This window comes from Homo sapiens, chromosome 11 (assembly GCF_000001405.40).
Source record: "Homo sapiens chromosome 11, GRCh38.p14 Primary Assembly".
Classification (NCBI taxonomy): domain Eukaryota; kingdom Metazoa; phylum Chordata; class Mammalia; order Primates; family Hominidae; genus Homo; species Homo sapiens.
The window spans coordinates 62114965-62129493 of NC_000011.10; the positions used below are offsets into that span (position 1 = coordinate 62114965).

General features: G+C 46.3%; 1 protein-coding gene and 1 long non-coding RNA gene across 9 annotated transcripts in view, besides 4 other annotated features; one reads left to right on the top strand and one right to left on the bottom strand.

Moving 5' to 3' along the window:
• Positions 1-1503: 1503 nt before the first annotated feature.
• Positions 1504-8747, bottom strand: LOC124902681 (uncharacterized). The gene is made up of 2 exons (XR_007062697.1): positions 8693-8747; positions 1504-1779 (listed from the first exon to the last, which is right to left on the bottom strand). It is a non-coding gene; the product is annotated as an uncharacterized LOC124902681 (long non-coding RNA).
• Positions 8658-8747: an enhancer, noted in NCBI's record as "active region_4811". NCBI's record gives its function as "activates an Ori minimal core promoter by ATAC-STARR-seq in GM12878 lymphoblastoid cells {active_cell/tissue: GM12878}" and the evidence as "EXISTENCE:reporter gene assay evidence [ECO:0000049][PMID:35858748]".
• The window catches only part of INCENP (inner centromere protein), a 29159-nt gene continuing 23676 nt past the window's right edge, over positions 9047-14529 (top strand). For all 8 annotated transcript variants that reach the window (XM_011544995.4, XM_006718533.4, XM_011544996.4 and 5 more), the window contains exons 1-3: positions 9047-9199; positions 13187-13337; positions 13806-13919. In XM_011544995.4, coding sequence (XP_011543297.1) covers positions 13198-13337; positions 13806-13919 — 254 coding nt within the window. In that variant the 5' untranslated portion in view covers positions 9047-9199; positions 13187-13197. The remainder of the gene's footprint in view (positions 9200-13186; positions 13338-13805; positions 13920-14529) is intronic.
• Positions 9278-9347: an enhancer, noted in NCBI's record as "active region_4812". NCBI's record gives its function as "activates an Ori minimal core promoter by ATAC-STARR-seq in GM12878 lymphoblastoid cells {active_cell/tissue: GM12878}" and the evidence as "EXISTENCE:reporter gene assay evidence [ECO:0000049][PMID:35858748]".
• Positions 9337-9918: an enhancer, noted in NCBI's record as "H3K27ac hESC enhancer chr11:61891773-61892354 (GRCh37/hg19 assembly coordinates)". NCBI's record gives its function as "activates a minimal SCP1, AML or CMV promoter by ChIP-STARR-seq in primed H9 embryonic stem cells {active_cell/tissue: H9 hESC(primed)}" and the evidence as "EXISTENCE:reporter gene assay evidence [ECO:0000049][PMID:30033119]".
• Positions 13401-13900: an enhancer, noted in NCBI's record as "H3K4me1 hESC enhancer chr11:61895837-61896336 (GRCh37/hg19 assembly coordinates)". NCBI's record gives its function as "activates a minimal SCP1, AML or CMV promoter by ChIP-STARR-seq in naive H9 embryonic stem cells {active_cell/tissue: H9 hESC(naive)}" and the evidence as "EXISTENCE:reporter gene assay evidence [ECO:0000049][PMID:30033119]".

The window sequence follows — 14529 nt, forward strand, 5'->3', positions numbered from 1 at the left end:
AGAAGACAGAAGAGCGAAGGAAGAACTTCCAAACACTTATAAAACCATTAGATCAGGTGAGAACTCACTCACTATCATGAGAACAACATGGGGGAAACCTCCCCCATGATCCAATCACCCCCCTTGCTCGACACAAGGGGATTACAAATCCCTCCCTCAATACAGGGGGATTACAATTCGAGATGAGACTTGGGTGGGGACACAGAGCCAAACTATATTAACAACAAAACCCCATGACACACATTTACCTATGTAACAAACCTGCACATCCTGCACATTTACTCATAAAATTAAAATAAAAAGACATGCCCACCAGTGTGCCATGCCCATTGCCATGGCAACACCCCAAAGTTCCTGCCCTTTTCCCTGGCAGCGAGACAACTGGGAAGTTACCACCTTATTTCTAGAAATTTCTGCATAATCTGCCCCTTAATTTGCATATAAACAAAAGTGGTTGTAAGTATGACCGCAGAACTGCCTCTGAGCTGCTACTCTGGGTGTACTGCTTATGGGGTAGCCCTGCTCTGCACACTGCTGCTTCAATAAAACCTCTGGCTGGCCCTTGATTTGTTTCCTAGGCAAAGCCAAGAACTCTCCCAGGCTAAGCCTGCCCTGCATTAGAAGCTCCTCAGTTGCACAGTTGACTGGAACTGTAGCTTAAATTTGAAAAATTATCTGCTGCGAATTTGTGTGGGAATGCAGATTTTGATTCTTGTTTTGACTTTTGACATCATAAGAAACATGTAAAGCAGTTTGACTTTACTTGTGATTCAAACAGTGTAGCCATCATAAAAATGACTTTACTGCAGTATAAGTTTTGCATATTAGTGCTGTTTTGACTGCTAATTTTAGGTTGAATTCATTAAGAAATATTACCAAGTCTATAGCAAAAGCTAATTTCCAAAGCCACTCAGTGTTCCTTAATAAGGGTTGAGGGCAGTTCCTATTCAGAAAAAATTCAGCTCTGAGCTTAAACAATCACAGTAAATCTTTACTACTGTGAATCCCTTGAACTGCTGCGTAATAGGGCAAGCAAAGAGATTCAGTTTCTATTTTGGACAAAAATTCATGGAGCTGAAGATGGCTATGGCACGAGAGTGAATTAAATTTCCTGTTGAAACTGCAGGTTCAATAACACATGACAGATTCAAATATTTTCAGGAAAGTATCTACTGATATACAATATGATGAATAATCATAGGTTTTTAACACCTTACACTGTCACAAGGTTTGTAAATTTGTCCAATTAACATTTATCTGCTCTATACATTTTTACTACCATCAATTGTAACACATCCTAGCAGATTCCACTACAGGTTATACTGAATTAGTGTTTCCTCAACTTCTATGAAAATATTCCCTCCTATAGTTATTCCATGCAGTCTATTCATAGAGGCTAACTCTGCAGTCATGCCAGCCTCAGCACTGACTCAAGTAAAAAACAACTGAGAAGTATCAGTAACATCTGTCAATTCATGAAGAGCCAAGAAAAACTACCTAAAATCACTTGACTTGTTTTTTTAATTAACAACTGTATTAGTTTCCCAGGGCTGCTATAACAAATTACCACAAACGTAGTGGCTTAAAAAGACATTCTTCTGGAGGCCGGAAGTCTGAATCATGGTGTTAGCAGGGTCACACTCCCTCTGGAGGCTGGGAGGCAGAATTCTTCTTTGCCTCTTTCAGCTTCTGGTGGTTGCTGGTTTCCTTGGCTTGTGGCCACATCACTCCAATCTTTGCCTCCATTTTCATATCATCTTCTCTTCTTGTCTATGTCTCCTACAAGAAAACTTGTCATTGGATTTAGGACTTACTGAGGTTATCCAGGATGATCTCATCTCATGATCCTTAACTTAATTACATCTGCAAGGGTCCTTTTTCCAAATAAGGTCGCATTCACAGTTTCCAGGGATTTGAAGTGGATGAATTTGACATGAATATATATTTTCGAGGGCTTCTCTTTGGCCCACCACAACTATTGATATTGCTCCCAATGTCCTCAACTCTCTGAGCAACTGTTCTCACCGAAAGGCTAATAGTTTTATTTTTTTAGAGGCAAGGTCTTGCTCTGTCACCAAGGCTGGAGTGCAGTGGCATGATGATAGCTGACCACAGCCTCCTGGGCCCAAGTGATCCTCCTGTCTCAGTCTCTCATGTAGCTGGGACTACAGGTGTGTACTACCATGCTCAGCTAATTTTACCATGATCAGTTTTATTTTTTGTAGAGATGGAGGTCTCACTTCGTTGCTCAGGCTGGTCTCAAACTCCTGGCTTCAGGTGATCCTCCCACCTTGGCCTTCCAAAGTGCTGGGATTACAAGTGTGAGCCATCTTGCCTGGCCTAGGCTAAGAGTTTATTTTCTGTGGACACATTACTTGGCTGCTGCAATCAAACACAATTTAATCAAATTACCTGCAGAAAACAGTTTTCCTTGCTTGGTTAACAAATGAGGCACTAGGAAACTTACTTTGGTTGCAGTCAAATTTTCATTTTTTATTTCTGTGAAGAAATTCTACTGTGATGAGATATAATGTTTTATATTTTATAATTTTTTGAACATTGCTTTCCTGTGAGTTGGGAATATTGTAAGTGCTTAGTCTGATAATGCTGCTATATATCATATTCCTTTAGCACAGATTACTATCATTGCCTAATAAACACACTGCTTTGCCATCTAATTAGATAAAATAATCCACACTCCACTGTTCCTTAATAGCACAACATTCTAAATCCATTTTTTTGCTTTGTTTAGGCTGATAGGTTTGCACTGGTAATTTTAAAATACTGTAGTATGGCTGGGTGTGGTGGCTCACGCCTGTAATCCCAGCACTTTGGGAGGCCGAGGTGGATGGATCACGAGGTCAGGAGTTCGAGACCAGCCTGCTCAACATGGTGAAACCCCCTCTCTACTAAAAACACAAAAATTTGCTGGGCGTGGTGGTAAGCGCCTGTAATCCCAGCTGCTTGGAAGGCTGAGGCAAGAGAATTGCTTGAACCTGGGAGGCGGAGGTTGCAGTGAGCCAAGATCGTGTCACTGCACTCCAGCCTAGGTGACAGAGCAAGACTCTGTCTTGGAGAAAAATAAAAATAAAAATAAACAAAAAAACCTCCCATGGTATTGTAATATGTGTGGCACTTGAAATGCTGTTGAATTATAACTATGCCACTGCAATTTGTAGTGCACCAAGCAGCAGTTCTAAATGATGAAACCAGAAATGGTCTTTACTGCACCTACTCAAAAGCAGCCATAGGTAGTACAGCATTGTCTAATGTTGGCTGTGTTCCAGTAAAACTTTATTTATGGATGCTTAAAGTTTTCATCTGTCACAAAATATTCTTGTTTTGATTTTTTTTTCAACCATTGAAAAATGTGAAAACCATTCTCAGCTTATGGGCTATACAAAAACATGGTAAGCCAGATTTGACCTAACTGCTCTAATTTGTTGGCCCCTGGTTTAAGATCTAAACTAGGAAAAGAAATGTGTCAGTGTCTTAGCCTCTTTTCTGTTGCTTATGACAGAATACCTGAAAGAGGGTAATTTATAAAGAAAAGGAATTTATTTCTTGACGTTATAGAGACTGAGAGGTCCAGGGTCAAGGACCTGCATCTGGTGAGGGCCTTCTTGCTGATGGGGACTATCTGCAGAGTCCCAAGGTGGCACAGGGTATCATACGGCAAGGGGGCTTAGCACAATAGCTGAAGTCTCTCTTTCTCTTATAAAACCACCAATCCTACTCCCATGATAACCCATTAATCCATTAACCCATTGATCCATGCATACATGAATGGATTAATCCATTCACAGGGGTAAAGCCCACTCATGACCCAGTCACCTCTTAAATACAGTCTGAGCTCAACTCCACTAACCAAAAGGTGGGAGTGCAATGCTGCTATATATTGTACATAGGGTTTTTTGTTTGTTTTTGTTTTTTTGAGATGGAGTCTCACTCTGTCACCCAGGCTGGAGTGCAGTGACATGATCTTGGCTCACTGGAACCTCTGCCTCCTGGGTTCAAGTGATTTTCCTGCCTCAGCCCCCTGAGTAGCTGGGATCACAGGCACCTACCATCATGCCCAGCTAAATTTTGTATTTTTAGTAGAGATGGGGTTTCACTATGTTGGCCAGGTTGGTCTCGAACTCCTGACCTCAAGTAATCCACCAGCCTCAGCCTCCCAAAGTGCTGGGATCACAGGCAAGAGCCACTGTGCCCAGTTGGGTTTTTAAGTGCTGGAGTAAGCTAATAGAAAAGTTCTGGAGCATATGAGGAGGGAGGTTGATCAATGGGATGTGTGAATTGCATTGAGTTATTCCACACTTTGCAAAGGTTTTTCTCTGTGATTAGGCCATCTGTGTTTGTTAATCAGCACCCATTGAAGTGAGATAGGGGTCCTTCCAGACTCTGGGAGATAGGGGTGCTATCTTTCTTGATGGTTATATTTCAAAGAGATGGTACCCATGTTTTTTTAAAAAAATCTTAACTTTTAGGTTCAGTGGTACATGTGCAGGTTTGTTATATAAGTAAATCGCATGTCATAGGAGTTTGGTGTACAGATTATTTCATCACTCAGGTAATAAGCATAGTACCTGATAGGTAGTTTTTTGATTCTCTCCCTCCTCCCACACTCCAGTCTCAAGTGGGTCCTGGTATCTATTGTTCTCTTCTTTGTGTCCATGTGTTCTCAATGTTTAGTTCTCACTTATAAGTAAGAACATGCGGTATTTGGTTTTCTGCACCTGTGTTAGTTTTCTTAGGATAATGGTCTCCAGCTCCATCTATATTGCTACAAAGGGCACGATTTTGTTCTTTTTTATGGCAGCATAGTATTCCATGGTGTACATGTACCACATTTTCTTTACCCAGTCTACTGTTGATGGGCATTTAGGTTGATTCCAGGTTTTTGCTATTGTGAATAGTGTTGTGATGAACATATGGGTGCATGCGTCTTTACAGTAGAATGATTTATATTCCTTTGGGTATATACCCAGCAATGGCATTGCTGGGTTGACATCTCACACCAGGCACCCATGTTTTTGAGAAAGACATTCCTAGGTTGTAAAACAGACAAAAGGCTTTTAAAATTATTTACATATTGAAGCAGCACAGAAAGAATCTACAGTTCTTTCTTTATAAAAGTTTTTTTTGTTCTTTTTTTAACCCGTGTCTAGTTCTGTCACCCAGGCTGGAGTGCAGTGGCGCAATCTCTGCTCACAGCAACCTTGGCTCACTGCAACCTCTGCCTCTTCAGCTCAAGTGGTTCTCCCACCTCGGCCTCATGAGTAGCTGGTACTACAGACACATGCCACCATGCCTGGCTAATTTTTTGTATTTTTTGTAGAGAGAAGGTTTCACCATGTTGCCCATGCTGGTCTGAAATTGCTGGGCTCAAGTGATCCACCCTCCTCAGCCTACCAAAGTGTTGGGATTACAAGCGTGAGCCATTGTGCCTGACCCATGACTATAATATTGATGGGACATTCTAAGTCCATAGGCTGTGCTGGGGACTCTCTAGCTTAAAGGTGGGGTGGCTCCGTGGCCCACATTCCAAGAGTCTGGTTACACATTACCTACGTATTCTTTCTGGTCCTGGAAGTCTGTATCCTTCAGCCAGGTGCCATAGACAGTTTAACCAAGCCCAGAGGGAGGCGGACACAATTATATCCTGGTCTTCTGGTCTTACTTGGGCTTATGTGCTTGCTCAGGGCTATTCTCGGCTCAGTGGTCAGACAAAAGCTTTGACTGTGGTGAACCTTTGTAGCTTTTACCCCAGAGGCCCTCAATGCAAGGGGAATGTTGCATACAGTCCACTGGTCTGCAAATCAAGAAATACGTCCCCCACTGGGGGTAGAAAGAAGACTTTGGGGAAAATAAAAGGAGAGTTTTAAGGGAGTCAATTTCATATTCTCTTAGGTGTGTCCTGTATGCACTTTTTCTTTTCTTTTTTTTTTTTTTTTTTTGAGATGGAGTTTCACTCTTATCTCCCAGGCTAGAGTGCAATGGCACAATCTCGGCTCACTGCAACCTCCACCTCCTGAGTACAAGCAATTCTCCTGCCTCAGCCTCCCGAGTAGCTGGGATTACAGGCGCACGCCACCACACCCATATTTTTTTTTTTTTTGTATTTTCAGTAGAAATGGGGTTTCATCATGTTGGCCAGGCTAGTCTCGAACTCCTGACCTCGAGTGATCCGCCCACCTCAGCCTCCCAAAGTGCTGGGATTACAGGCATGAGCCACCGCGCCCAGCCTGCACTGTACTTCTTCTTTTATCTGCTTGTGAATGTACCTGCCATTAGCTAGTTTTCCTTTCCCTCAGCCCCCCTCCTTTTTTTCTATTCTTTTTTATTTTTTTGAGATGGAGTTTCACTCTTGTTGCCCAGGCTGGAGTAAACTAGTTTTCCTTTCCCTCAGCCCCCCTCCTTTTTTTCTTTTCTTTTTTATTTTTTTGAGACGGAGTTTCACTCTTGTTGCCCAGGCTGGAGTAAAATGGCACGATATCGGCTCACCGCAACCTCCACCTTTCAGGTTCAAGCGATTCTCCTGCCTCAGCCTCCCAAGTAGCTGGGATCACAGGCATATGCCACCATGCCCGGTTAATTTTGTATTTTTAGTAGAGACAGGGTTTCTCTATGTTGGTCAGGCTGGTCTTGAACTCCTGACCTCAGGTGATCCACCCACCTTGGCCTCCCAAAGTACTGGGATTACAGGCGTGAGCCACCACGCCCGGCCCCCTCAGCCCCTTTTATAGTTGCTCTTCTCTCTCTTGAGAAAGACGGACCTTAATCCCCTTGGAAACTTGCTAAAGTGCACTGCACAGGGTAGAAAACTCTCCGAGGTAACAATCAAATAAACAATTTGAGATACTCATGTCAGAATTAATAAACAGAATGATTAACGATTGGGTAACATATCCTTTTATGATTCAGCTGATTTCCAATTATTTACATTCTTCAAAGAATAACTCAGAAATGTTTAGTTAATTTGCTCACAAATTATTTACTCACATATGATGGAGTCAGTTGGTAAACTGAGTAAAATAACAAAGGCAAAAACAGAATTGATAAAGAGAGGGAAGAAAGGGAGAGGAAAAATACTACAGACGACCTGGGAACAGGGTAAACTATCTGTTGGTAGCTGACCGTGGATGTACAAATCTCTTCAAGATTGAACTGCCTTATTTTACAGGTAACAGCAACCTTGACTCACAGAGTAAAGTGACTTTGTCTAAAGCAGTTTCTCAACAGCAGCAATTCTGGTATCTGGGGCCGGGTAATTCCTTGCTGTGGGGACTGTCTTATGCACTAGATGGCGTTCAGCAGCATCCCTGGCCTTTACCCACCAAATACCACTAACCCCTTCTCCCAAACCCAAATGAATTCACACACTGCCAAATGTGGGGGGCGGAGGTGGGATAAAACCTCCTCTGCATGAGAACCACTTCTCTCAAGAAACGTCCAGTACCAGGGTAGGTGACCAAGGATTCTGTCGCCCAAGAGATGACAGAAGGCTCTAGATAAACGCACACTCCGTTGCCATTCACAAGGCGTTTTGTTTTTACTTCTCAAAAGCGGCAGAGATTTTTTTTTTGAGACGGAGTTTTTTGCTTTTTGTGGCCCAGGCTGGAGTGCAATGGCGCGATCTCGGCCCACTGCAACCTCTGCCTCCCGGGTTCAAGCGATTCTCCTGTCTCAGCCTCCCGAGTCGCTGGGATTACAGGTGCAAGCCACCACGCCCGGCTAATTTTTTTTTGTATTTTAGTAGAGACAGGGTTCCACTGTGTTGCCCAGGCTGGTCTCGAACTCCTGAGCTCAGGCAATCCACCCGCCTCGGCCTCCCAAAGTGCTAGGATTGCAGGCGTGAGCCACCGCGCCCGGCCAGAGATTCTTTTTTTTTTTTTTTTTTTTTTTTGAGACGGAGTCTCGCTCTGTCGCCCAGGCTGGAGTGCAGTGGCGGGATCTCGCCGGCCAGAGATTCTTTATAGGACATATTAGTCCTTGTCTTTCCCCCCCCGCCTCCATATTGGAAAGATGAACTAATTGAAATATGACTTAGTAAAAACATTGTGCCAACTTGAAACCTTGATTTAGTAAAACATCTCAATGTTTAGATCCTTTGTCCAATGGTAGTATTTATCAGATGTATTCAGCTTGCTCAGAAAACCAAAAGGGCATTACAACCACAAAAGCAAAGAAAAATAAGAAAACGTCCCATGTTTGGATCTTGTTCTACTTGTAAAGATTAAATTGAAATGATTAGGCTTTTCGATTCATGAGCCAAATACCGTAACACCCTGGCCTTTGATGGGTTTGGATTTTTAACATTACTCCTGAGATTTCAGGAAGTGGGGTTACAGTTACACTCCTTATAGCTGCTAAGTGTATTAAGTTGAATGTAAGGATGCATAATATTGTTTGAATTGAGCCCCACTACCAATTCTTTAAAAAATGGCATGAATTCCTATACGTAAATGATTTGGTGGAACTATTCCATCATAATTTCTAAATTGTTTATATACCAAGGTAGCCTTAATTTGTATATGTTTCAGTACAATGAAATTTTACTCCCTCTGGGATGCTGTTTGGTTTGTATTTTGAGGAATGTTTTTCTCATGGGAAGAGGAACCTATGACTTCTGTACCTAGATAATTTGTTACATTAAAAAGCTGGTCTTTCAGCAATGTAAGTATATACATACATGTTTTTATGAGGAAAAAAAAGCAGCAGAGATCAGAAGACTGCCACCGTGCTTGGAGAAGAAAGAAAGCCGCGCGTGGCCTTCGCAGTGCTCGCCGGGACTCGTAGTTCCAGGTCTGCGGGCTCCTCCCAGGCGGGGATCTACTTCCTCTCTCGGCCGCGGCCGCAGCACCCGGAAGCTGAGGGGGCTTAAAGTCTTTCGCTTCCTTTCCCCGCCTCTTAGTCCCGCAGATTGCTAGTGGATATGGCCAATAGGAGGGCTGACTGGTACTTCCTGTTATTTGATTGGCTTAAAATTTTGCAACCGCCCGGACAAACTTGCCGAGGATTGGCTGAGCCTTCAGTTTTGAAAATCATAGTTTTCGCCCGCGCTGCGCCGCCTGGTTGCTCCTCCCGTGCGGTGAGTCCCGAAGGCCCGGAGCCAAGTGGGTCTGGGCAAGCGGGGCCTTACCTAGGGATACCACCGGACTTGGATCGGAGCAGCCTTCAGGGGACGTGGCGCAGTCGAGTGAGTGCGCGTGGGCGTGGGGATTGGGGGGTGGTTCGCGATTTTTTCCCCGGTCCTCTGCTCCGTCCCTGTCGACTCCGGACCAGGGTCGTGACTCCCCACCCCAGCCCCTGGCTACCTGGGCATATGAGGGTCACCTCTTCCAAGTGGCGAGGTCGCCTGCCTTGGTTCTCGGGCCCGAGATGCCTCCCACCCTTTCCACCTAGGCCCTCAGCTTCCTAGAGCATAGCCCCGTTCCCTCCGCTCCCGGCTGCTTGGCACCTTGTGCCTGTGAGGATTAGTGTTGACTTGGACGCGCAGGAAGCCCGAAACCAACCCGGTTGTTTGGCGGAATGATGCCAGATGGCATTTCTGTGCAGTTAAACCCCTCTCTCAACGCCCCCGCCCCCAGCTGAGCAGCATTTTAAACTGACCATTTCCGGAGGCTGGGCCGCCCCTTGTCACTCCCCAAGCCTGTTCGCTGTCAGCGGTTCAGTCTCATTCAGCTAACATGGGTTGCTCGCGGGGTTGCCCAGAGCCAAGACTGGGCACCTGCCTTTCAGAAGTTGATATCTAGAAGGCGGTATAGCCAGTGGTTAAGGGCACGGTTTAAAGGCGGTATAGCCCGTGGTTAAGGGCACGGTTCTATTTATGCCCCTGATTTACCGGCTGATTTTGACTTCTCTTTGCCTCAATTTCCTCATCTGCCCATGCGTATCCTCAAGGTTGTGGTGAGAATTAAATGAGATGATGTCTGACTCGGGCATGGAGTATGACTCAGTAAATGGGAGCAGCTGCTATGCGCTTTCTGCACAGAGGTGTGGTAGGCGCCCAACTTACAGCACCCTGAAAAGGACAGGAGTCATAGAGGAGGACGATGGGGCCTTCAGTCTGGTGTATGGTGTGGAAGAAGTGTTGGAGAGGAGGAAGACTGGAGAGTGTCTTCCTCGGTGAGGTGTTGAGTGCTCTTTATCTGTGTGCAGGTGCTTACATGGGTTGAAGAAGAGATTTTTGCTGCTCTTCCAGGAGCCTGATTCTTGGTACACTGATTCCTTCTTTTTCAGGGTCACCTCTGTTTTAACTTACGGTAACCCTTTTTAAATCGTTGCGCTAAGGTCTGCTAGAAGCAAACCTCCCCGTGAAAGAAGTCCAATTGCTTTCATGGACTTTGTGAAAGAAGCTCTCATCCACGTTGCCCATTTGAACAAATACTTTTTAAAAAGTTAGCCAGTTGTTGCTTTTCTCTGCAAACCTTTGGCTTCCTTAAACAGTTTTCTCTTTTCTGGCCTGAGGTCCTGCGCTTTGCCAGGGCTGTGGTCTGGGTGCAGAAGGGTTAGGGGAAGGTGAGGGATGACAGTGAAAAGGGCTTGCCCATGATTGGCTGGCTGCAGAGCCGAGGTTTCAGCCCAAAGCCTGTACGATCCTGCCCATTTGGCCCTGCCCTGATTATTGCTGCCCTTGGCATCTGGGAACAGGGGTTTTGAACATGTGTTGGTCAGTTCTAACCTGTGCAGATTAAGTTTATTTGGTGCCCTTTGTGTGGTGGGATGAGCACCTATAGGATGTTTATTTCTAGGTGTAGAGTTGATGGGTGGATTAATTCATTTAACAAATAGTCCTTGTTGCCAGGCACTGCTGTGCTCTGGGCATTCAACGATGAGCAAGACAGACAGGGGTTTGCCCTCAGAGAGCAATTGTTTAGTGGGCAGGGACAGGCAGTAAGCAACAGGTAAACAAGCACGCAAGTGCTCTGCAGAGAATTACAATCAATGAATGGGATCATGGCTGGGGCTACTTTAGATTGGTTTTCAGGTTTTCCTGAGGATCTGAGATCCAAGCCATGAGGAGTGAGCCATACAAAATGTGAGACAATGTTCCAGACGCAGGGCAGAGCTTGTTGAGGAACAAAGACTACTGTGTCCTTGAATCAAGCCTGAGGAAGTCCCATGAGACTGAAACCTGACCTGGTGCTACGCCCTGTGAGGGATCAAGGGGTCAGCAATTTATCCCTTCCTTACAAGACCTTCCATTGTAGGTGGGAGGCTGAGTTGTGCATGGTTTTTTTTTTTTTGAGATAGAGTCTCCCTCTGTTGCCTGGGCTGGAGTGCAGTGGTGTGATCTTGGCTCATTGCAGCCTCTGCCTCCTAGGTTCAAGCGATTCTCCTGCGTCAGCCTCCTGAGTAGCTGGGATTATAGGCGTGCACCACCACACACAGCTAATTTTTTTGTATCTTTAGTAGAGACTGGGTTTCACCACGTTGGCCAGGCTGGTCTTGAACTCCTGACCTCGTGATCTGCCCACTTCGGCCTTCTAAAGTGCTGGGATTACAGGCGTGAGCCACCGTGCCCGGCCAGTTCTTGGTTTTAAAGAGGTAAGTCAGGATGGTGGATCACTGCCATTGACTTGAGGCATGCAGTTTGTTGTTATGGCTTATGACCACCACCCATTCATTTGTTCTTTCACTCATTCACCTGTTGGGATATTTAATGAGCCCCTGTTGTGATGTAGTAGAATATGGTTGTCTCTTGGAATCCTCAGGGGATTGGTTCCAGGACCTCCTTTGGATACCAAAATCCACAGATGTTCAAGTCCCTGATATAAAATGACATAGTATTTGCATATAACCTACACACATCCTCCTGTATACTTTATATCTCTATATTATTTATAACACCTAATATGATGTAAAAGCTATGCAAGTAGTTGTTATACTGTATTATTAGGGAATAATGACAAGGGAAAAGAGTCTATACATGTTCAGTACAGATGCAGCTCTTTTTCAAATATTTTCCACTGGTGGTTGATTGCATCCATGGATGTGGAACTCACAGATATGGAGGGCTGATTGTACTTCTTCCTTGCTTGAAGTTTTTGTAATGGCTATCAAGTTTTTTGTTTTGTTTTTTTTTTTTTGAGACAGTCTCGCTGCGATGCCCAGGCTGGGGTGCAATGGTGTGATCTTGGCTCACTGCAACCTCCACTTCCTTAGTTCAAGTGATTCTCCAGGCTCAGCCTCCCAAGTAGCTGGGATTACAGGCGCACACCACCATGACCAGCTAATTGTATTTCTAGTAGAGTTGGGGTTTCACCACATTGGCCAGGCTGGTTTTGAACTCCTGACCTCATGTGATCTACCTGCCTCGGCCTCCCAAAGTGCTGGGATTACGGGTGTGAACCACTGCACCCGGCTGGTTATCAAGTTTTAAGGAGGATACCTGAGCTGCTAGTTTTATAAGAAAGTGAGAAAAAACTGTTTTTGTGTTTTCTCTTGCTCAATGCTTGTAGGCAAGTTTTCTTAAAAGCAAGATATTGCTTACTGTTCCCTTCTTGTTCTATTTATGCTCCATTTGGAGGGCATTTCAGCTCAAGGGAGAGGGTTGTGGGAGGCCCCTTGAGGGCATATCTCTGGATCACTACTTTCTCACTCATTCCTTTGGAACACAGAATCTCTTCTGCTCACTGGCCTCTTAAAGAGGCAGTTGGGTTTGATGTTCTTTGGCCTGATGTCTGGAGTCAGCTTGTATGTAGTGCAGGGTGGCTGTGTCTTAGCCCTCACTTAACCATGAGTAGTAAGATGAGGGCCTACTGGAGAGCGAGAGCAGGACTGTGTTTGGGCAGGGAGTGAGGGGCCCTGGGGTGGCCAGGAAGACAGATGGCAGTGCCCTGTCATCTTAAGCCCAGAAAAGGCCATTTATAAGGAGGACTGTCAATGTCAGAATTGGTTGGGAACTGTGGACTTATGGGGACAGTCATGCTGGCGGGGGGGTGGGGACAGGGAGGTATTTGAAGAGTGTGAGTAGAAGGGCTTCTCTTTGTAGAGATGAGGCTAGGGGATGAGTGTTTGGAATTCTGCAGCTCTGGGGAGTGGCTGTGAGCAGAGAGGGGCCCTGGTTCGGGCACTGGGTGTTTGTGGTGGTTGTGGGTCAGGTGGGTATTGCAGCTTGGAGAAAGCCCCAGACCCCTACCCTGGGCCCCTAACTTGTGCCTCTTGTCCCTGCCTTCACCAGACAGAGCCACCATGGGGACGACGGCCCCAGGGCCCATTCACCTGCTGGAGCTATGTGACCAGAAGCTCATGGAGTTTCTCTGCAACATGGATAATAAGGACTTGGTGTGGCTTGAGGAAATCCAAGAGGAGGCCGAGCGCATGTTCACCAGGTGAAGACGGGCACAGTGAGAGGCTGGGAACACCAGGGCCTGTCTGGGCTGCTTTGGTCTTGGGGACACAACAGCCCCTCGTCCCCGCCTACCTGGCAAAACAGACAGCCTGTCAGGGCTCCCTGCTGTATACTGTGTGTGCAGTGTGCTGGGGGCCTGACCTAGTGTCATGGGAAGAGGCAGCAGGAGAGATCCAGTCCCTTGCCTATTCGCCATCGTTGCTGGCTGGGCCTCTCAGGGTATGTGGCAATGGACGTGCGCCTGGGAGCTTGCTTCCCTGCCGTGTCTCCAGGAGGAAGCCCTGAGTGCCCGCAGGTGACTTGCACATGGCCTTGGAGAGCTCACTTGGTGCTGGACACCCCAGCTTGACCTGTCGCTGCCAGGAAATGGGCAGGGGCCAGGCTGGGTGGGAGAGGGGACCAGTGGTTCCCAGGCAGCCTCGAGTGACACCCTCCTTGTGCCAAACAGAGAATTCAGCAAAGAGCCAGAGCTGATGCCCAAAACACCTTCTCAGAAGAACCGACGGAAGAAGAGACGGATTTCTTATGTTCAGGATGAAAACAGAGATCCCATCAGGAGAAGGTAGGAGGGGTTGGGGGAGAGTGAGCTGAGCAGTGGGCTCTGCGGAGGCTTGGTGCCATCTGGGAGTTTGATTCTGAAGGTGTTGATTTGGAAGTAGCAGCCTGTAGGAGGGGTGGTGGGTACCACCGCGGGTACTGCGTGGGCCATGCTGAGAGGGGTTGGGATGCCACAGGGAACTATAGCTTGACCCAAGACCCTGGAGTCCAAATCTGTGGCTGTGTGTTGGGGGTGGGTGTGTTTGATCTGGGCCCTGGAGAATGGGAAAGATTTCCGTAGGTGGGATGAGAAAGAGAAGCCATCCTTCTGTTAGGTGAGTGTGACCAGGGGTGTAGACCACGTGCCTTGTCCCAGCCGTCATATTGTCATGCTTGTTTTAGTCCCCCTCAGGAATGATTGGGGCTGCAGAGTGCTAGGGAAAGAGGCTGGGTCTTGGGGTTAGGCTTGGGTGTGAACCCCAGCTCTGCCCCTTAGCAGAGCAGTACGGCTTTGAATTGAATTTCTGCCTCTCTGAGCCTCCGTTCCTCATCCCTAAAATGGGGATAGTGGTCTCTGCCTCTCAAGGGCGTGCTCTGGATTAAGGCAGAGCGTGTGTAAGGCTTTCAGCAGGGGC